The following is an 18,285-nucleotide window of genomic DNA, read 5'->3' on the forward strand; positions in this document are numbered from 1 at the left end:
GGGCTCTCATGCAACCTGGAAAACTTTTCTTCCCTTGACATTGCATGAACAGGCAAAACCTGGAAAACCCGATAGGACAATTTGACAATAGCAGCCTAAGCTGGAGGAATATTTCGGGCTCCAGTTTATAGTTAATTGCAAAAACTGTTGCGATAAGATTGGACAATATGGGGCAGTATAGGCCATTTGAATGCACAAAACCAAGTGACTGAAGCTCCTTTCTAAGATAAAACTCCTGCACTGAGAGAAATTTATGAAAGTAGAATCTATTTGACCACAACAGAGACACTAGGGGTAAAGGAAAGATAGAGCTCAGAAAAAGGTGGGGATGAGAGCAGAGAAAATAAATCTTAAAAGCATAAGGCTGTATTTGAAAAAAAAATCAACATTTTGCAGTTACAACAGAGGAGAGAGCCTTAGATACACAGGTTACCTTCTCCTTCCAAGAGTATGGAAAAACCTAACATAAGCAATGGAAAAGGAGGATGGTACAATTATACACAAAGTTATCATCTTAAAAAAGTGAATGTGAGTGAGTAACAGTGAAGACAAGATGGGAAGAGATATCTACAAAACAAAAGAGAAAAAGAAAACAGAACAGCCCAGATAACGAGAAAGCACAGGGGGGAATATAAACTTGACTATGTCAGTATATTAAATACAAATAATATAAAGACTCCAGTGAAAAGTAAAGATTGCTAGGATGGATTAAAAAAACAAATCTGGCTGGACGTGGTGGCTCACACCTGTAACTCTTGGGCTCAAGCAATCCACCCGCCTCGGCACTTTGGGAAGCTGAGGCGGGTGGATTGCTTGAGCCGGGGAGTTTGAGATGAGCCTACAAAAAAATATAAAAATTAGCCGGGTATGGTGACACGCACCTGTAGTGCCAGCTACTCGGGAGGCTGAGTTGGGAGGATCACCTGAGCCTGGGGAGGTTGAAGCTACAGTGAGCTGTGATCACCCACTGCACTCCAGCCTGGGTGTCAGAGTGAGATCCTGTCTCAATCCCCTCTCCACCCCCTTCTCTTAAAATCTATCTCATCTATATGCTGTTTATAAAAGACACATTTAAATTATAAGGTCACAGAAAGGTTGAAAGTATGACAATTAAAACATACACTATGCAAATACTAACCAGAAGAAAGTTGTATTAATAGCCGACAAAATGATCTTCAAGGCAAAATCATTAGTAGAGACAAAGAGGATCACTTCGTAATGAAAACAGTTTCAAGTTACCAGAAAAATACTATCATTTTTACTTAACCAAAATATAGTTCAAAGTATATGAAGCAAAACATGACAAACTACAAGAAGAAACAAACAGATCCACAATCATAGTGATATACTTTAATGTATTCTCTTAACTGATAAAAAAAAAAAGCAGACAAAAATGTCAGTAAGAATACAGGAAATTGAACCCGGCTGCGCACAGTGGCTCACGCCTGTAATCCCAGTAGCACTTTCGGAGGCTGAGGTGGGCAGATCATGTGAGGTAAGGAGTTTCAGGCGAGCCTGGCCAACATGGCAAAACCCCATCTCTACTAAAAATATAAAAATTAGCAGGGCGTAGTGGTGTGCGCCTGTAATCCCAGCTACTCGGGAGGCTGAGGCAAGAGCATTGCTTGAACCTGGGAGGCAGAGGCTGCAGTGAGCTGAGATTGCGCCACTGCACTCCAGCTAACTGAGTGAGACTCTGTCTCAAAAATAAACCTCAAAATGGCAAACGCATCCTTTTAAAAAATAGATGGAGGATAAACAACAACAACAACAACAAAAAACCACCCCACAAAACCACACACTGGGCCATAAAAACAAGTCTAAACACATTCTAGAGAACTGAAATAATATAGAATATGTTCTCAGATCACAAAGTAATTTAAAAAATAACTAGAAAAATCCACATGTTCAGAAATTAAGAAACTCTTCTAATAACCATTAGTTAAAAAAGAAGTATTAATCACAAAAATTAGAACCTTTTTGAACTGAATAAAAAACACTACAATCACAATTTGTATAACTGCTAAAGCAGTACTTAGATATTTATAATTTTAAATGTCTAGCTTGGAAAATCAAGAAGACTAGAAGTCAAAGCACTAAGCCTTCATCTTAGAAATTAAATAAGCCCCCAGTATCCCAAAGGAAGCAGAAGGAAGGAAATAATAAAGACAAGAGCAGAAATCAAGTAACCAGAAAGCAAGCATACAATAGAGTCACAATGGAGACAAAAGATGCATTTTGGAAAGAAACCTCTGGTAAGACTAAGAAACAGAGAGAAGGCACAATAACCAATATTAGAAATGAAAAAGCGACGTCACATTACAAAGGTAATATGACATTAACAACTTTATACCAACATTTTAATATATGGATGCAATGAACATGGTCTTATTACTGATGCAAGAAGAAACAGAAAATCTAAGTAGTCCAATAACCCATTAAAGGAATTGAATAGTAGTAGACAAATAAGTAGCAGACAATCTCTCCCACCTCCACACATACAAAAACCCACCAGGCCTAGGTGGCTTCATCTGTGAGTTCAAGAAAGACGTAATTTCAATCTTTTGTAAACTCACAGAATCCAGAAAGGGAGAAAATGCCTGACTCTATATGGCTTGCAAAACTTTGATATGCAAACTGGACAGAGACAGTACGAGAGAGGAAAACGGTGGTCTAAGCTCACTCATGAACACAGATGCAGATCTCCTATATATAATATTACCCAACTGAAATCAATCTGTTTGTAAAAAGGGAAATTAAGTCCACGAGGAGTTAGCAGTTTATCAGATTAGTAACCTTAAAAAACCCGACAATACCAAGGGTTGGTGAAGACGTTGAACATTAGGAACTCTCATCACTAATTGGCAATTACCTACTAAAGTGAAAGCTATGCACACTCTATGACCTGTGGTTCTACTCCTAGGCATATGCTGTGGAACAACGTATGCCTATGCGCATTGGGAGGATACATGTACCAGGAGATCCATGGCCACATTTTTCAGGATAACTAGACATTGAAACCAACACAAATGACCAGCCTGAAGAAGGAAGTCAGCTGGAGCTGGAGTGAGGGGAACTCGTCAGGTGGGCTGAAGGTGGAAAAACAGAAGAGAGTTGATAGAATCTGGACAGTGAGAGTTTGGAGTGATAACCAGATAAAAAGACTCCACAGAAAGTTCCTCTCCCTGCCAGTTCACAATTCTATAATTCCAGCCATGCACTCCTAACCACTGTCAAAGTTTTCTTGTGCTCCTTCCTGAAGTAGTGTGTGTGTGCGCACACTATTACATCCCTTGTTTTCCTTTTCACCACACCTATTCTATACTATTTTATTTTATTATTTTATTTTATATTATTTTGAGATAGAGTCTTACTCTGTTGCCCAGGCTGCAGTGCAGTGGCACAGTCTCGGCTCACTGCAGCCTCCACCTCCTGGGTTCAAGCAATTCTTCTGCCTCAGCCTCCCGAGTAGCTGGGATTACAGGCGCCCACCACCATGCTGGGCTAATTTTTGTATTTTTAGTAGAGATGGGGTTTCACCATGTTAGCCAGGCTAGTCTCAAACTCCTGACCTCAAGTGATCTGCCGTCCCTGGCCTCCCAAAGCGGTGGGATTATAGGTGTGAGCCACTGCACCTGGACTCTATACTACTTTTATAATTAAGAAAAAACAAGAAAAATACTTTTAGCTGGAACAAAGAAAACAAACAAATCACAGAGACAAGGTTCATAAGAGAGAATTCCAAACGATGTGCCCAAGCTCCTATGAGGACTTTAGCAACAAGAAAAGGAACATGAGGGTGATTGTCCCGTCCTCTGCCTTCCTGACCACTGTCAGGGCTGGCCCACCCTCTGGGGATGCAGAGTGTGGATCCAGAGATCTCATGGGTGGAAGCCACTCTCACAGCTCTCAGGGAGCCCCCGACAGCCAAGGGGCCGTACCTCGGAGTTGGCAGGCACCACAAACTGGGAGGGCAGGGCGATGTCGGGCATCCGGCATTCCGTGGAGAAGGTCACCGAGTAGGGCAGAGGGTTCTCCAACTTGATGGAGGCTGACGCAACTTGCCGGACTGGGGTCACCATCTCGATGGTTTTGATGATGCCTGAAGGGATGACCCTGAAACTCACATTGTAGTACAAGAACTCATTTGTCACCTCGTTTCGGAAGATCACCTGCATTCACGGGGAGAGAGGGAGGAAGGAGGGAAGAGTAGGGGTGAGCCGAGGGTCCTCTGCACATTTTCAGAGCCTCCTTCTCTTTTTTAGCATTGTTTGGCACATGAAGCACAGGTACCAGGCTGACAGGACGCTCGCAGCCTATCCGGATCCCTGCCAGCCAGACTTTCTAGTTAGGGATTCCGGCTCCTCCCAGATGAGAGATTATTAAATAGCCTGGGCTTGCTTTAGAAGAGGCTAGATAGAGCAGGACTGTCCAACGCCAGCACTTCCCTGGTGGGGACAGCTGGCCGGCTCTGGAAAACAAGCGAGACCTTTGAGGTAACTTTCAATGGGCTTTCTTTCTTTCTTTCTTTCGAGAAGGAGTCTCACTCTGTTGCCCAGGCTGGAGTGCAATGGCATGACTCGGCTCACTGCAACTCCCACCTTCCGGGTTCAAGTGATTCTCCTGCATCAGCCTCACAAGTAAGCTGGGATTACAGGCGCCTGCCACCATGCCTGGCTAATTTTTGCAGTTTTAGTAGAGACGGGGTTTCATCATGTTGGCCAGGCTGGTCCTGAACTCCTGACCTCGAGTGATCTGTCCGTGTTGGCCTCCCAAAGTGCTAGGATTATAGGTGTGAGCCACAGTGCCTGGCCACAGTGGGCTTTCTTCCTATTCCTGTTGCTGCTGGGATAGTTTAAAAACAACAATAGCATCTGACACTTAATTAATGATTACTGTATGCCAGGCAATAAATAGAAATGCTTAATTAGTTAATTCACACAATTCGTAGGCACTGTTATTATGCCACTTAACCTTTTAAAATTTAATTTAATTTAATTTAATTTAATTTTTATTTTGTAAAGATGAGGGAACTGAGGCTTCGCAAACTCAAGTATCTTGCCCAAGGTCACACATAAAGAAGAGTCAGGACCAAGATTTGAACCCAGGTTAGACTGACTCCAGAGCTCACACTTGTAACGACACTATACTGTCCCTTCACCCCTGCAACGGACTTCTTGTGCTGCTCACCTCTTTAAGTTCTTTTCCCTGGTGACTGATAATGTTCAGCATCTTCTCGTGTTTTTATTGGTCATTCACATAGCTGCTTTTATGCAATAGGGTCTATTCAAGTGGTTTGTCCTTTGTAACACATTGGGTTGTTTTATCTTATTATTATTAGGTGTTAATAGTTCTTTATATAGTCTGGCTTTTTACTTTCAACTTCTTTGTGTCTTGAAGAGCTTCTAACATTCCCTTTTTTTTTGAGATGGAGTCTTGCTCTGTCACCCGGACTGGAGTGCAGTGGCGCCATCTCAGCTCACTGCAAGCTCTGCCTCCCGGGTTCACGCCATTCTCCTGCCTCAGCCTCCCAAGCAGCTGGGACTACAGGCGTCCGCCATCACGCCTGGCTAATTTTTTTTTTTTTTTTTTTGTATTTTTAGTAGAGACGGGGTTTCACCGTGTTAGTCAGGATGGTCTCAATCTCCTGACCTCGTGATCCGCCCGCCTCGGCCTCCCAAAGTGCTGAGTTTACAGGCTTGAGCCACCGCGCCTGGCCTTCACTCCCTGTCTTTTAATTGGAGTGTTTAGTGTTTTACATTTAAAGTGATTTTTTTTTCTTTTTTCTTTTTTTTTTTTTTTTTTTTTGAGATGGAGTCTCGCTCTGTCGCCCAGGCTGGAGTGCAGTGGCGCAATCTCGGCTCCCGGCAAGCTCCCCCTCCTGGTTTCATGTCATTCTCCTGCTTCAGCCTCCCAAGTAGCTGGGACTACAGGCACCCACCACCATGCCTGGCTAATTTTTTTGTGTTTTTAGTAGAGATGGGGTTTCACCATGGTCTCGATCTCCTGACCTTGTGATCTGCTCGCCTCGGCCTCCCAAAGTACTAGGATTACAGGTGTGAGCCACCGTGCCGGGCCTAAAGTGACTGTTTATATGTTTGGCCCGAAGTCTGCTTCCTTGCTAGTTATTTTCCACTTGTCCCTTTTATTTTTCATTTTTCTGTTGTTACTTTCCTGCTTTCGTTTGGATTGATACACAATCTTTTGGCATATATTTTACTTCCTCTACTGGCTTCTTAGTCATATTTTAAAACATATTTTTTTTTGAGATGGAGTCTTACTCTGTCACCCAGGTTGGAGTGCAGTGGTGCGATCTCAGCTCACTGCAACCTCCACCTCCTGGGTTCAAGTGACTCTCCAGCCTCAGCCTCCCGAGTAGCTGAGATTACATGCATGTGCCACCACACCCGTCTAATTTTTGTATTTTTAGTAGAGACGGGGTTTCACCACGTTGGCCAGGCGGGTCTTGAACTCCTGACCTCAAGTGATCCGTCTGCCTCAGCCTCCCAAAGTGCTGGGATTACAGGTGTGAGCCACTGCACCTGGCCTTTAAAACAATGTTTAGTGGTTGCTCCAGAGCTAAAAATGAATCCTTATCAACATTTATTAAATGTTAATATTTTATCACTTCCCACTTGACAATGGATGCTTCCTGGTCCCTACCTCACACTTAATAATAACCTTGCCTTAGCATCACTTCATTTGCCTGTCCACCCCATCTTTTGTGCTTTTGTTATCATATCTTTTATTTCTATATACATAAGAACATCCACCTTAGAATGTTATTATATTTGTTATAAACTGTCAGTAATCTTTTAAGAAATCCAAGAAAAAACCCTCCAAATATATATTTTGCATTTCCCTAGGTATTGACCATTTCTAGAGCCCCTCTTTTCTTCTTGCAGACTGGAGTTCCCATCTGGTATCATTTCCCTTCAGACTGAAGAAGATCTATTAACATGTTTTGCAGTAATGTAAATCTGCTGACAATGAATGTTCTCAGATTCTTTTATATGAAAATGTCTATTTCACTCTCAGTTTTAAAGGACATTTTTAGTGGATAAAGAATTTTTAGATGGACTGTTTCCTTTCCTTTCATCGCTTTACAGATAGCTTCCATTATTTCCTAGGTGAAGCCAGAACTCTAGGATAGCCATTGTTATCGCTGTCCCTCTCGCTGTAATATGTATTTTTCCCCCCTGGCTGCTTTAAGCTTTTCTCTTTATCTTTGTTTTTTGGCAGTTTGAAAATGAAACGATGCCTGATGTGTACAGGCATAGTTTTCTTTGTATTTCTCCTGCTTGAAGTTTGCCAAGTTTCTTGGATCTATAGTTTTTTTTTAAAAACTAATTTTTTAAAAAATATCTTAAGGCCTTTAAGAATTATGTTAAATCTACTCTGCCTATGCTCTGGAAATGGAACAACAAATCCTGGATGACAGCACATCTGATTTCTAATTACAGGGTGGCTTACTGAATATTTTAAGCCCACTGTTGAGACCTACTGCTCAGAAAATAGATTTCTTTCAAAATATTACTTCTCTTTAATAATGCACCTGGACACCCAGGAGCTCTGATGGAACTGTACAGGAGATGAATGTTGTTTTCATGCCTGCTAACACAACATCTACTCTGCAGCCCACAGATGAAGGAGTCATTTTGACTTTCAAGTCTTGTTATTTAAGAAATACATTTCATAGGGCAATAGTTGCCATAGATAATGATTCTTCTGATGGGTCTGGGCAAGGTAAACTGAAAACCTTCTGGAAAGGATTTGCCATTCTAGATGCCATTAAGAACATCTGTGATTCACTGGAGAAGGTCAAACCCTCATGTATGCCTTTGAGGAGTTCAAGACTTCAGTAACTGGAAAAGTAGAGGAAGTAACTGTAGATGTAGCAGAAATAGCAAGAGAACTAGAATTAGAGGTGGAGCTTGAAGATATGACTGAATTGCTACAATCTCATTATAAAACTTGAATGAATGTTGAGTTGCTTCTTATGGATGAGCAAAGGAAGTGGTTTCTCAAGATGGGATTTATTCATGGTGAAGATGCCATGAACATTGTTGAAATGACAACAAAGGATTTAGAATATTCACAAACTTAATTGATAAAGCAGCAGCAGGATTTGAGCGGACTGACTCCGATTTTGAAAGAAGTTATATTGTGGGTAAAATGCTTTCAAACAGCATCACATGTTACAGAGTAATTTTTCATGAAAGGAAGAGTTAATTTATATGGCAAATTTCATTGTTGTCTAATTTTAGGAAATTGCCACAGTCACCCCCACCTTCAGTAACCACCACCCTCATCAGTCAGCAGCCATCAACATCGAGGCAAGACCCTCCACCAGCATAAAGATTATGACTCACTGAAGGCTCAGATGATCATTAGGATTTTTAAGCAAATAAGTAATTTATAATTCAGGTATGCACGTTACTTTTAAAGACCTAATGTTATTGTACACTTAATAGACTACAGTACAATGTAAACATAACCTTTATATGTACCAGGAAACAAAAAATATTGTGACTCACTTTATTGCATTATTAGCTTTGTCATGGTGGCCTGGAACCAAACCCACAGTACTTCTGAGGTATGTCTGTAATTTAATTTTCTGCCTCATTCACATTCTCTCTCATTCTCTTCTTCCCAGAGAATGTTATGTTATGTTTAGAACAGTTGCTGTGAAGTCTGCCTGCTAAATCCAACATCTGGCCCGTCTTGGAGTCAGTTTCCATTGACTGCTTTTTTTTCTTGACTATGGATCCCATTTTTCTGCTTCTCCACAGGTCTAGTAATTTTTATTTGTCTACTGGACAATGCTGATGATCATTGTAGAGATTCTGGATTCTGTTGTCTTCCTTTTAACAGTGTTGATTTTGTTGTAGGAGGTAGTTGAATCACTGACTTAAATTTGTGTGGGTTTGGTTTTATGCTTTGTTAGAGCACATCCGTGTAAAGCTCAAGGTATTTATCAGGACCTTCTGACTTGCTGGGATTCAATCTCCAGATTTTGTCCTCCCTGTAGAACTTGCAGGTGCTTAGTTGTAGGCTTTTTTAAAGGGCTGATAAAGAGAAGGCCTTATACTAAGGGAATGGCCCTTTCTCCTAAGTCTTTCTTCTGGCTTTTCTAGTATTTTAGCTGGGTTCTCAGGATTTTAATGAGGTATTAATGCAATCTCTTTCCTTTGGCTGGGCCAGACCTCTAATGTTCCCCAGCACTGATTAACACATAGTATTGCTATTCCTTTAACAACCACATAGCAGCTGCTCCCTGGTAAATCCCATGTTGTCTCACCCTGCACATGTGCAACTCTTAGCCAAGGATAGTGAAGGGAACGCTCATGCTGTCTTCTGACCTGTCCTCTTTACTCATGCACTGGTCCCTTCTCTCTGGTGTCCTACCCTGTAGAGACTAGCCTTTTTGACTGTCCCAAACTCTGATTTCTGCCTCCTCAGCTCCTTGGCGGCTGCTGTGCTTTGCTTGGACTCTAGCTCACTGAATTGTAGTCAGGAAATTGTCCTTAGGCAGAGAACCAGGATAATCATGGGGATTCGTCATGAGTTTTCCTTCCTTTTCGAGGATTGCAGTATTGTGCTGCCTGTTGTCCAATGCCTGAGAAAAGTTGCCTCAGAGATTTTGTTGAGTTTTATATGTTTTTTTTTTATAGTGGGAGGAGTATAAAATGGAGTATTATAATCATTATAACCAGAAGCAGAAATGCTTTTTATTCTTTGAAAAATGTTTGTTATTATTTTTAATTTCAATATGTATTACTGTAAGGAGACTGGTGATTTGGGTTCACTCTGTCATTTTTACTCCAAAGTCTTTTCACTTATATTTTTACATATCTTTATTTTGTTTACATGTACAGTTTATGAATATCTCTATTCTCTTCCTACTCTTCTCTCTGAATGAGAAACCTTCTCTTATTTCCCCCATTCAATTCCTCCAGAATGAGGAAATGCTTCTCATTGCCTTATTTTATTCTTCCCCTTGCTATTTTCTATGTTCAGGTCATATGAAATATTTATCTTAGATTGTCTTTCAACAGTTGTTTAAAATTACCTATCAATTTAATTTTGATTATTTGCTTATTATATCCTTGTACTTTCCTCTTTGATTCACTTTTTTTTTTTTTGAGACAGGGTCTTGCTCTGTTGCCCAGGCTGGAGTGCAGTGGTGTGATCTCGGCTCACTGCAACCTCTGCCTCCTGGGTTCAAGCAATTCTCTTGCCTCAATATGGGGTTTCACCATGTTGGCTAGGCTGGTCTTGAACTCCTAACCTCAAGTGATCCACCCACCTCAGCCTCCCAAAGTGCTGGAATTACAGGCATGAGCCACTGCACATGGCTCACTTACTTATTTTTTAAGCTTTGCTAATTCAGAAAGTTTTAATTTTGTATTTATTTTCAGATAGAATTTGTGCATATGGGTGGGTTACTTTTTTTTTTCTTTTTTTTGAGACACAGTTTTGTTCTGTTGTCCAGGTGGAGTGCAGTGGTGTCACCTCAGCTCACTGCAACCTCAATCTCCTGGGCTCAATCAGTCCTCCTACCTCAGCCTCCTGAGTAGCTGAGACTATAGGCGCGTGCCAGCCCACCTTGGCCTCCCAAAGTGTTGGGATTACAGAGGTGAGCCACTGTGCCTGGCCCTGGGTCAGTCACTTTGAGTCCTTGCATGTCCAAGTTTTGCTGTCATAAGAGTTTTGTCTGGAAAAAGAGTTCTAGATTGACAATCATTCTCACTCTGAAATTTGGATAGCTTATTCCATTATCTTCTGGTATTTAGTGTTGCCACAAGAAGTCTTATGTTACCATGATTATTAGCTCCTTTTATTTCCTCTAGAATCATTTAGGACTTTCTCTTTCATCCCGGTTTTCTGAAACGTTGCTCTAATGTATTTAGATGTGAGTATTTTTTTCATTCACCCTGTTTGGCAACTTGATGGACCCATTCGATTAGAAGACTTGATCTTCTTAAAAAGCCCTGGAAATATTTCTTCAGTTATTTTGTTGAATACTTTCTTCCTTCCAGTATCTTGTTTCTCTTTCAGGAGCTCCTATTACATATATATTAGAACTTCTTGATTTATACATTGTCTCATATTTCCTTTCATTCTGTTTTTGAAACAGCTTTATTGAGATATAACTCACATACCATACAATCCCTCATTTAAAGTGTTCTATTTAGTGGTTTGTAGTATATTCACAAGGCAGGGTAGCCATCACCACAATAAACTTTAGAACATTTTCATAATCCCTAAAACCCTATAACCATTAAGTCACTCCCCTTTTCCCCAACCCATCCTCTCCAGCCCTTGGTACCATGAATCGACTTTCTGTTTCTGTAGATTGGCTTATTCTTCAAATTTCATACACCCGGAGTCATACAATATGTGAATGGCTTCTTTCACCTATATTTCAAAGCATACATTCACTTTCATTTCAAATCATACATTTGTTACTGGCTTCATTCACTTAGCATAATGTTTTATAGCAGGTATCAATATTTTATTTCCATTTCTTTTTATTGTCAAATTCCATTCTATTTATACACTTACCAGTTCATCGAAATTTGGGTTGTCTCTACGTTTTGGCTCTTATAAATAATGCTGCTATGAATATTTGTGTATAGATTTTTGTGTGCACATATGTTTTCATTTCTCTAGGGTATTACCTAGGAGTTAAATTGGTGAATCATATGGTAACTCTACGTTTAACCATTTGAGGAACTGCCAGACTGTTTTCCAGGGCAGCTGCACCATGTTATACTCCCACCTGCAGTGTATGAGGGTCCCAATTTCTCCACATCCTTGCTGATGCTTGTTATTATTTCATTTCATTCCATTTCTTTGTCCTCAAGGGCTAAGGTCTGGTGATATTACTCAGCTCCATCTTGTAACTTATTAGTAATCTCCATTATAAAGTCCATCCCTCCTGCATGGTTTTCTAAATATTTTATTTTTCATTTCTAGAGTCTCTAATTGATTCTTTTTCACAATAGCTTATCCTTATTTCATGAGTACGATTTTCTCCCTTTGGGGATATAAATAATATTCACTTAAAGTTTTCTGTTTGCTTTAATAACTCTTTCTTTTCAGAGGTGATTTACTCATTTATTGAGTAGGTGTTTCTATTTTATGGTAACTTTTTTTAGATGTTTCATGATGTCTTGTTTTGAGGTTCTCTTAAAATCTTGTCTGTCTGTGAATGCTGATCTGATGAGATGTGATTGGAGCATCCTATTCAGTTATTGTAGAAAAGGAGATCTCACACTGCTGGATGCGTCTTGCCAGCATCTCTCTCTCTCTCTCTCTCTCTCTCTCTCTCTCTCTCTCTGTGTGTGTGTTCCTAGATACTTTCTTTTTTTCTTTTTCTTTTTACTTTAAAATGTTTCCCCAAGTGATTCTATCCCACATCTTAGCTCCAAATGCTATCTATAAATGAAAAATTCCCAAATGTTATCTTTAGTCCCGACCTCTCCCATGAGCTACAGATCCACACATGCTCCTTTTCTTCAAAGCACTTATCTCATTTTGTAATTATACATCCATAGTGCAATTATTTGAGCAATGCCCATCTCTCTCCACTAGACTGTGTGTTCTGTGAGAACAGAGATTGTGCCTATTCAGGTCGCTGATGTGTTACCAGCAATCAGTATAGTACATGGCATATGTGCTCAATAGATACTTGTTAAACCACTGAATGAATGAGGTGAAACAACTCATGTGTGAGAGACCCTGTGATGTCTTGGAGCAGTGACTATGGGGGCCATCTTTACTTGCTAACACCAGGATCAAACTCAGGGTCAAATGTCCTGAGTTCCAGGGTGGTGCCTTTGCTATGTAGATACCTTTGCAGCGTACGTTCCCTCCTTGTGGGAAAAGAAGTTCAGCTTGTAGTCTTTCTTAGAGCCAGACAGTACATCAATGTAATCAAGGCCCTTCATAGTGATGCTTAGGTCCGGCTTCTCTGGTTTCAGTATTTCCACGATGACCCGGAATCTGGGGCAGCATAGGAGAACACAAGAGGGGAGAGGAAATGAGACCGTTAACCCATAGGAAAAAAGGAGAAGTGCCAGCTGTACTCTTGATTTTATGGGAAGTGCATGGCTCCAGGGTTCTAGTCTTCACCCTGTCACTAACAATAATGGGAACTGCCATTTACTGGCCACCTATTATGTGCCAGGGACTGAGTGAGTGGCCTGTGTGTTACAGGCATTAATCCTTGCAATATCTGTAGGAGGTATTAATACATATCACTATCATGTCCACATCACTAAATACAGGCCAAGAGAAGGAAGATAAGATGCTCCAAGAGAAGGAAGGTAAGATGACTGGTTACTGGCAGAACCAGGATTCAAATTTAGGTCAGGCCTTTACCCACTATGCTAAGCAGGAAGCCTTCAGTACATTGTGCCTGGTCTCCCAGTCTAGAGTTCCTTCTCTGTAAAAGAAGGGGACCATGCTTGTTGGCCTTGAGCTTTCCTGGTGCCCGATTTCCACTCTGCTCCTACTGCAAGGACAAGATCCAAGGACTTGCTTCTCTGGCCAGTGGCTTAGGTGATAAGACAGAACACTCAGCAATAACAGTGGTAATTATCATTATGATAATAATGGCTAACATTTATCGAATGGTTATTTTGTGCCAGGAAACTTACAAGTAACTAAGCACAGAAAAGAGAATCTCGCTAGAGGCTTAGTGTTCAGGAAATGCCTGGTCACATCAGGGAACTTTGTCTCTAACTCCTCGAGCCCCTCAACATCCTCTAGAGGTCCTAAGTAGGGGAAGGACCAGGCTAGATGGTGAAAGTCCTCCTTTCATCTCCCCACCCAGCCCCCTAGCCCCACCCCCTTACCTCTGGGGCTTGTTCAGCCAGTTGGTGATTGGCAGAAGCTCAGTGTAGGGGGTCTTACATGGCACTTCACGATAGATATTGGCTACAGCTTTGGGGAGCTCAGAAGTCCCATGCAGAGCATACAGCCAGCCGGTCCCATCTGGGAGGGGGAAGAAGAGGGTGCCCTAAGGAGAAGAAGGATGTGATCAGAATGCCACACAGCATTCTTTACTAGGTACTTATTGGACATGTAGAGACCCAGGATTAATGGAGGATAATGGAGGCTCTGGAAAGAAACATAATACTTTTGAAGACATCTTGGTGATATAGTTCAGGAGATAGAAAAATGTTCATATGTATCCGAGCCAGGAATCCTATCCCAGAGAGCCTATTGAAGAAAAATCCCTCCAAAGAAAAAAGTTATGCATATATATAAGAACCATTTATAATGTTGATGAAAATTTGTAGATAAACATTCAACAAATGGGACTGTAAAACAAATTGTGGAATTCTCATTCAGTGAAATATTGGGCAGTTATTAAAAATAATTATCATAAAGACCGCATAGTTAAATAGAAAAATGCTACTGCTATACCGTAAAGTGAAAACAAACTGAATGTAAAATTGGGTATGTTATGATGATAGTTATGGCTGTATCTGAATAAGGATTGGTAGTGAAGATAGAAAAGAAAAGTTCATTTTTTAATAGGGTGGAATATTGTGGCCACTTTTTTTTTGTTTTGTTACAGTCACCATTATGTTATTTATGCAATTAAGTGAAACATTAATTACTTGATGCTTGGTCTGGACTCCATTTCAGAACTGAGCCCCTGGCTCTACGAGAATCCCTGTACATTAAAATAAAAAATGAAAAAAGGAAGCCAAAGCTTGATAATCTGCACAATTCCCAAATCCTCACTATTCCAACATGATCTGGGTGTTCCCCATCTAACATTCTCTGAGCTCTCAGCTTCCAAAGTGTTTTTTAATTTAATTTTTATTTTTTTGAGATGGAGTCTCACTCTGTTGCCCAGGCTGGAGTGCAATGGCATGATCTTGGCTCACTGAAACCTCTGCCTCCTGGGTTCAAGCAATTCTCCTGCCTCAGCCTCCCAAGTAGCTGGGATTACAGGTGTGCACCACCATGCCTGGCTAATTTTTGTATTTTTAGTAGAGACAAGGTTTCACCTTGTTGGCCAGGCTGGTCTTGAACTACTGACCTCAGGCGATCCACCCTCCTCAGCCTCCCAAAGTGCTGGGATTACAGGCATGAGCCACCACGCCCAGCCCCAAAGTGTCTTTTAACCTCATTCACATAGTGCCACCTTCAACTATGCCAGGAAACCAATGGGGGTGGGGGGACCTCAGTCTACCTGGTGCTTGCGGTTCTCCAAGTTCATGGTGCGGGGCCTGTAGGTGATCTCATAGGGCTTGTTTTGCTGGTGGGCCTCCAGGGTGATGAACTCAGGCCCCTCCCAGTGCTCGCCCTCAAAGATGGGGTGCAGATTCCAGGTCTGGTTGGTGCGGTTTGACAGCAGGATGGTCTGCGTGTGCTTGGAGCGCACCTGGCACGTGAAATTCACTACCTGGAAGAAAGCAGGCACCTCATCTTCCATGGCACTTCCCCCTGGTCCGTCTCCAGGGCCAGAAGTACAGAATGTGCGCTGGGGAAGACTGACTTTGACAGTGCTTCCCATCATGAGTTTCAGTGGGTCCGTTTCTTTTTCTTTCATTCACTCAACACATACTTACGGGTACCTTCTATGTGCTAGGCACTGTTCTTGGTGGTAGAGATGTAGCAATGAACGAAATAACAAAAATCTCTGCCCTTGAGCTGAGATTCTACTAGAGGGAGACAGACACACAAGTGGAATGTAGAGCGTGCAGGATAGAAATAAGTGCCAAGGGGAAAGACAAAGTAGAAGGGGTGCCAGATTGGGAGTGGGTTTGAGTTTTTACACAGTGTGATCAGGAAGGGCCTAACTGAGCATATGTATTTGATTAAAGACCAAGAAGGATGAAGTAGGGGAGACCTGGGGAAGAGCCTGAGTGAGCCTGAGTGTAACTGGCAGAGGAAATGCCAGTTACAAAGCTCCTGGTTTTGACAAAAGGCAGGCAGGCCAGTGTGGCAAATGTGAAGTGAGTGAGGGGGAGATAAAGTGACAGGGGACAGCACGCAGGGTCTTGGAGTCATGGTAGACACTTTTTTTTTTTTTTTTTAGTTGAAAAAGGAGGACTTACGAGTATTTTGAGTAGAGTGACCTGATCGGATCTATGCTCTAACAGAACTGCTCTAGATGCTTAGAGGTGACAGAGGAAGAGAGATTAACTAGAAGACACTTGCAATAGGCCAGGTGGGGGATGACGGTGGCTTAGGTGGCACTGGTAGCACTGGGGATGGTGGAAAGTGGGTATATTCCAGTTGTACTTGGAAGAGCCAATAGCATTTACTTCTGTATGGTATGTTGGGTATAGGTGGAAGAAGGCTCAAGAATGACACCCAATGAGCAGAATGGAGATGCCCTTTACTGATGTGGGATTGACTGCGGGAGGAGCAGGTTTCAGTGAGAGATCGGGAGCTCAGGTTTCATACATGTTAAATTTGAGATGCCTATTCGTCAAGAAGGAAGTAGAATTTACAAATCTGGGGTTCAAGGGAAGAGTCCAGGCTGCAGATAAAGATTTGGGAGTTGTCAGTATAGCAATTTCATTGTTGTTATTACTGTTGTTGTTTTGTAGAGATAGGGTCTCACTATGTTGCCCACGCTGGTCTTGAACTCCTGAGCTCAAGCGATCCTCCTGCTTCAGCCTCCCAAAGTGCTGGGATTACAGGCACGAGCTACTGTGTCCAGCCTAACAGTGTTTTTTTTTTTTAGGCCAAGAAACTGGCTGAAATCAACAAGAAATGATGGTATGTAGACGAAAGAAGGAATCTAAGGACTAGTTCTTGACTGACAAACTCCAATGTTAAGAAGAATCAGAAGGCCAGGCTTGGTGGCTCATGCCTGAAATCCCAGCACTTTGGGAGGCCAAGTTGAGTGGATTGCCTGAGGTCAGGAGTTTGAGACCAACCCGGCCAACATGGCAAAACCCTGTCTCTACTAAAAATATAAAAATTAGCTAGGCATGATGGTGGGGGCCTGTAATTCCAGCTACTTAAGAGCTGAGTTAGGAGAATTGCTTGAATCTGGGAGGCAGAGGTTGCAGTGAGCCGAGATCATGCCACTGCACTCCAGCCTGGGGAACAGAGTGAGACTCTGTCTCAGAAAAAAAAAAAAAAAAACCAAAAAAAAAAAAAACAAGAAACAAACAGAAGATGAGAAGGAGAAGCCGGTGAGTAGGAAGAAACCCAGGAGAGAGTGGTGTGCTGGAGCCAAGTGAAGGAAGTGTTTGCAGGAGGAGGAACGGGTTTATGGTGTCAAATGCTCCCTATAGTTAAAGAAAGAACTGGCTATTGGATTGGTATTGGCATAAAGATGGTCGAATAGATCAATAGATGAGAACAGAACCCACATATATATGATCAATTGATTGTCATTTACAATCAATGACAAAGGTGCCAAGGCAATTCAGTAGAGAAAAGAGTCTTTTCAACAAGTGGTACTAGAACAATTGGATATCCATGTACAAAAAATTTTTGATCCATATCTCACACTATATACAGAAATTAACTCCGAATAGACTGAAGACCTAAACACAAAACTTATGTTCGGAATATATAAAGAGCTCTAGAAACTTTAATAAGAAGACCAACGACCTAATTAAAAATAAACAGAAGACTTGAACAGACACTTTAACTAAGACAATACAGGGCTGGCAAATAAGTACTCGAAAAGTTGCTTAACATCATTAGTCATCAGGAAAATAAAGCCTCCATGAGATACCTCTACATACTGATTAGAATGGCTGAAATTTAAAACAACTGACTATCAACTGTTGATGAGGATGTGAAGTAAGTGGAGATGTCAGACATTGCTGGTGGCATTGTAAAAGGACACAACCACTTTGGAAAATAGTTTGGCAGTTTCTTACAAAGGTAAACATACGCCTACCACATGACCCAGCCATTCCACAACTAGGTATTTATCCAAGAGAAATGAAAGCATATGTTCCTGCTGAGACTTATAAATACAAGTTCATAGCATACTGTATGATTCCATTCATATAACATTCTTTAACAAAATTATAGACAGGGAGATTGGGTGTCATTTCTACCACAAGCAGTGTTGCTAGGTAACACAGCTGATGGTTCAGTTAGGTTCCCAGGAACAAGGCTAGCAGACGGATATACCAAGGCCATTTTTTTTTAAACCATAGAAAAGGAGAAAGGTGTTAACGCTTTAATCATAGATCTTAGAATGTGATCTAGCCAGGGATGTCAAAGCAGGCTTCCTTGAGAATGTAATGTTTCAGATGAGAGCTGAAGAATGGAAAGGAATAA

General features: G+C 41.4%; 1 protein-coding gene across 1 annotated transcript in view; it reads right to left on the reverse strand.

Annotated features, from left to right (window-relative positions):
- Positions 1 to 18,285, reverse strand: part of HYDIN (HYDIN axonemal central pair apparatus protein) — a 428,639-nt gene that overhangs the window by 12,317 nt on the left and 398,037 nt on the right. Inside the window, exons 81-84 of the mRNA NM_001270974.2 lie at positions 15,218 to 15,430; positions 13,866 to 14,029; positions 12,861 to 13,011; positions 3,942 to 4,172 (exon numbers count right to left, since the gene is read on the reverse strand). Coding sequence (NP_001257903.1) covers positions 3,942 to 4,172; positions 12,861 to 13,011; positions 13,866 to 14,029; positions 15,218 to 15,430 — 759 coding nt within the window. The remainder of the gene's footprint in view (positions 1 to 3,941; positions 4,173 to 12,860; positions 13,012 to 13,865; positions 14,030 to 15,217; positions 15,431 to 18,285) is intronic.

The sequence above is a fragment of the Homo sapiens genome, chromosome 16, assembly GCF_000001405.40.
Source record: "Homo sapiens chromosome 16, GRCh38.p14 Primary Assembly".
Taxonomy (NCBI): domain Eukaryota; kingdom Metazoa; phylum Chordata; class Mammalia; order Primates; family Hominidae; genus Homo; species Homo sapiens.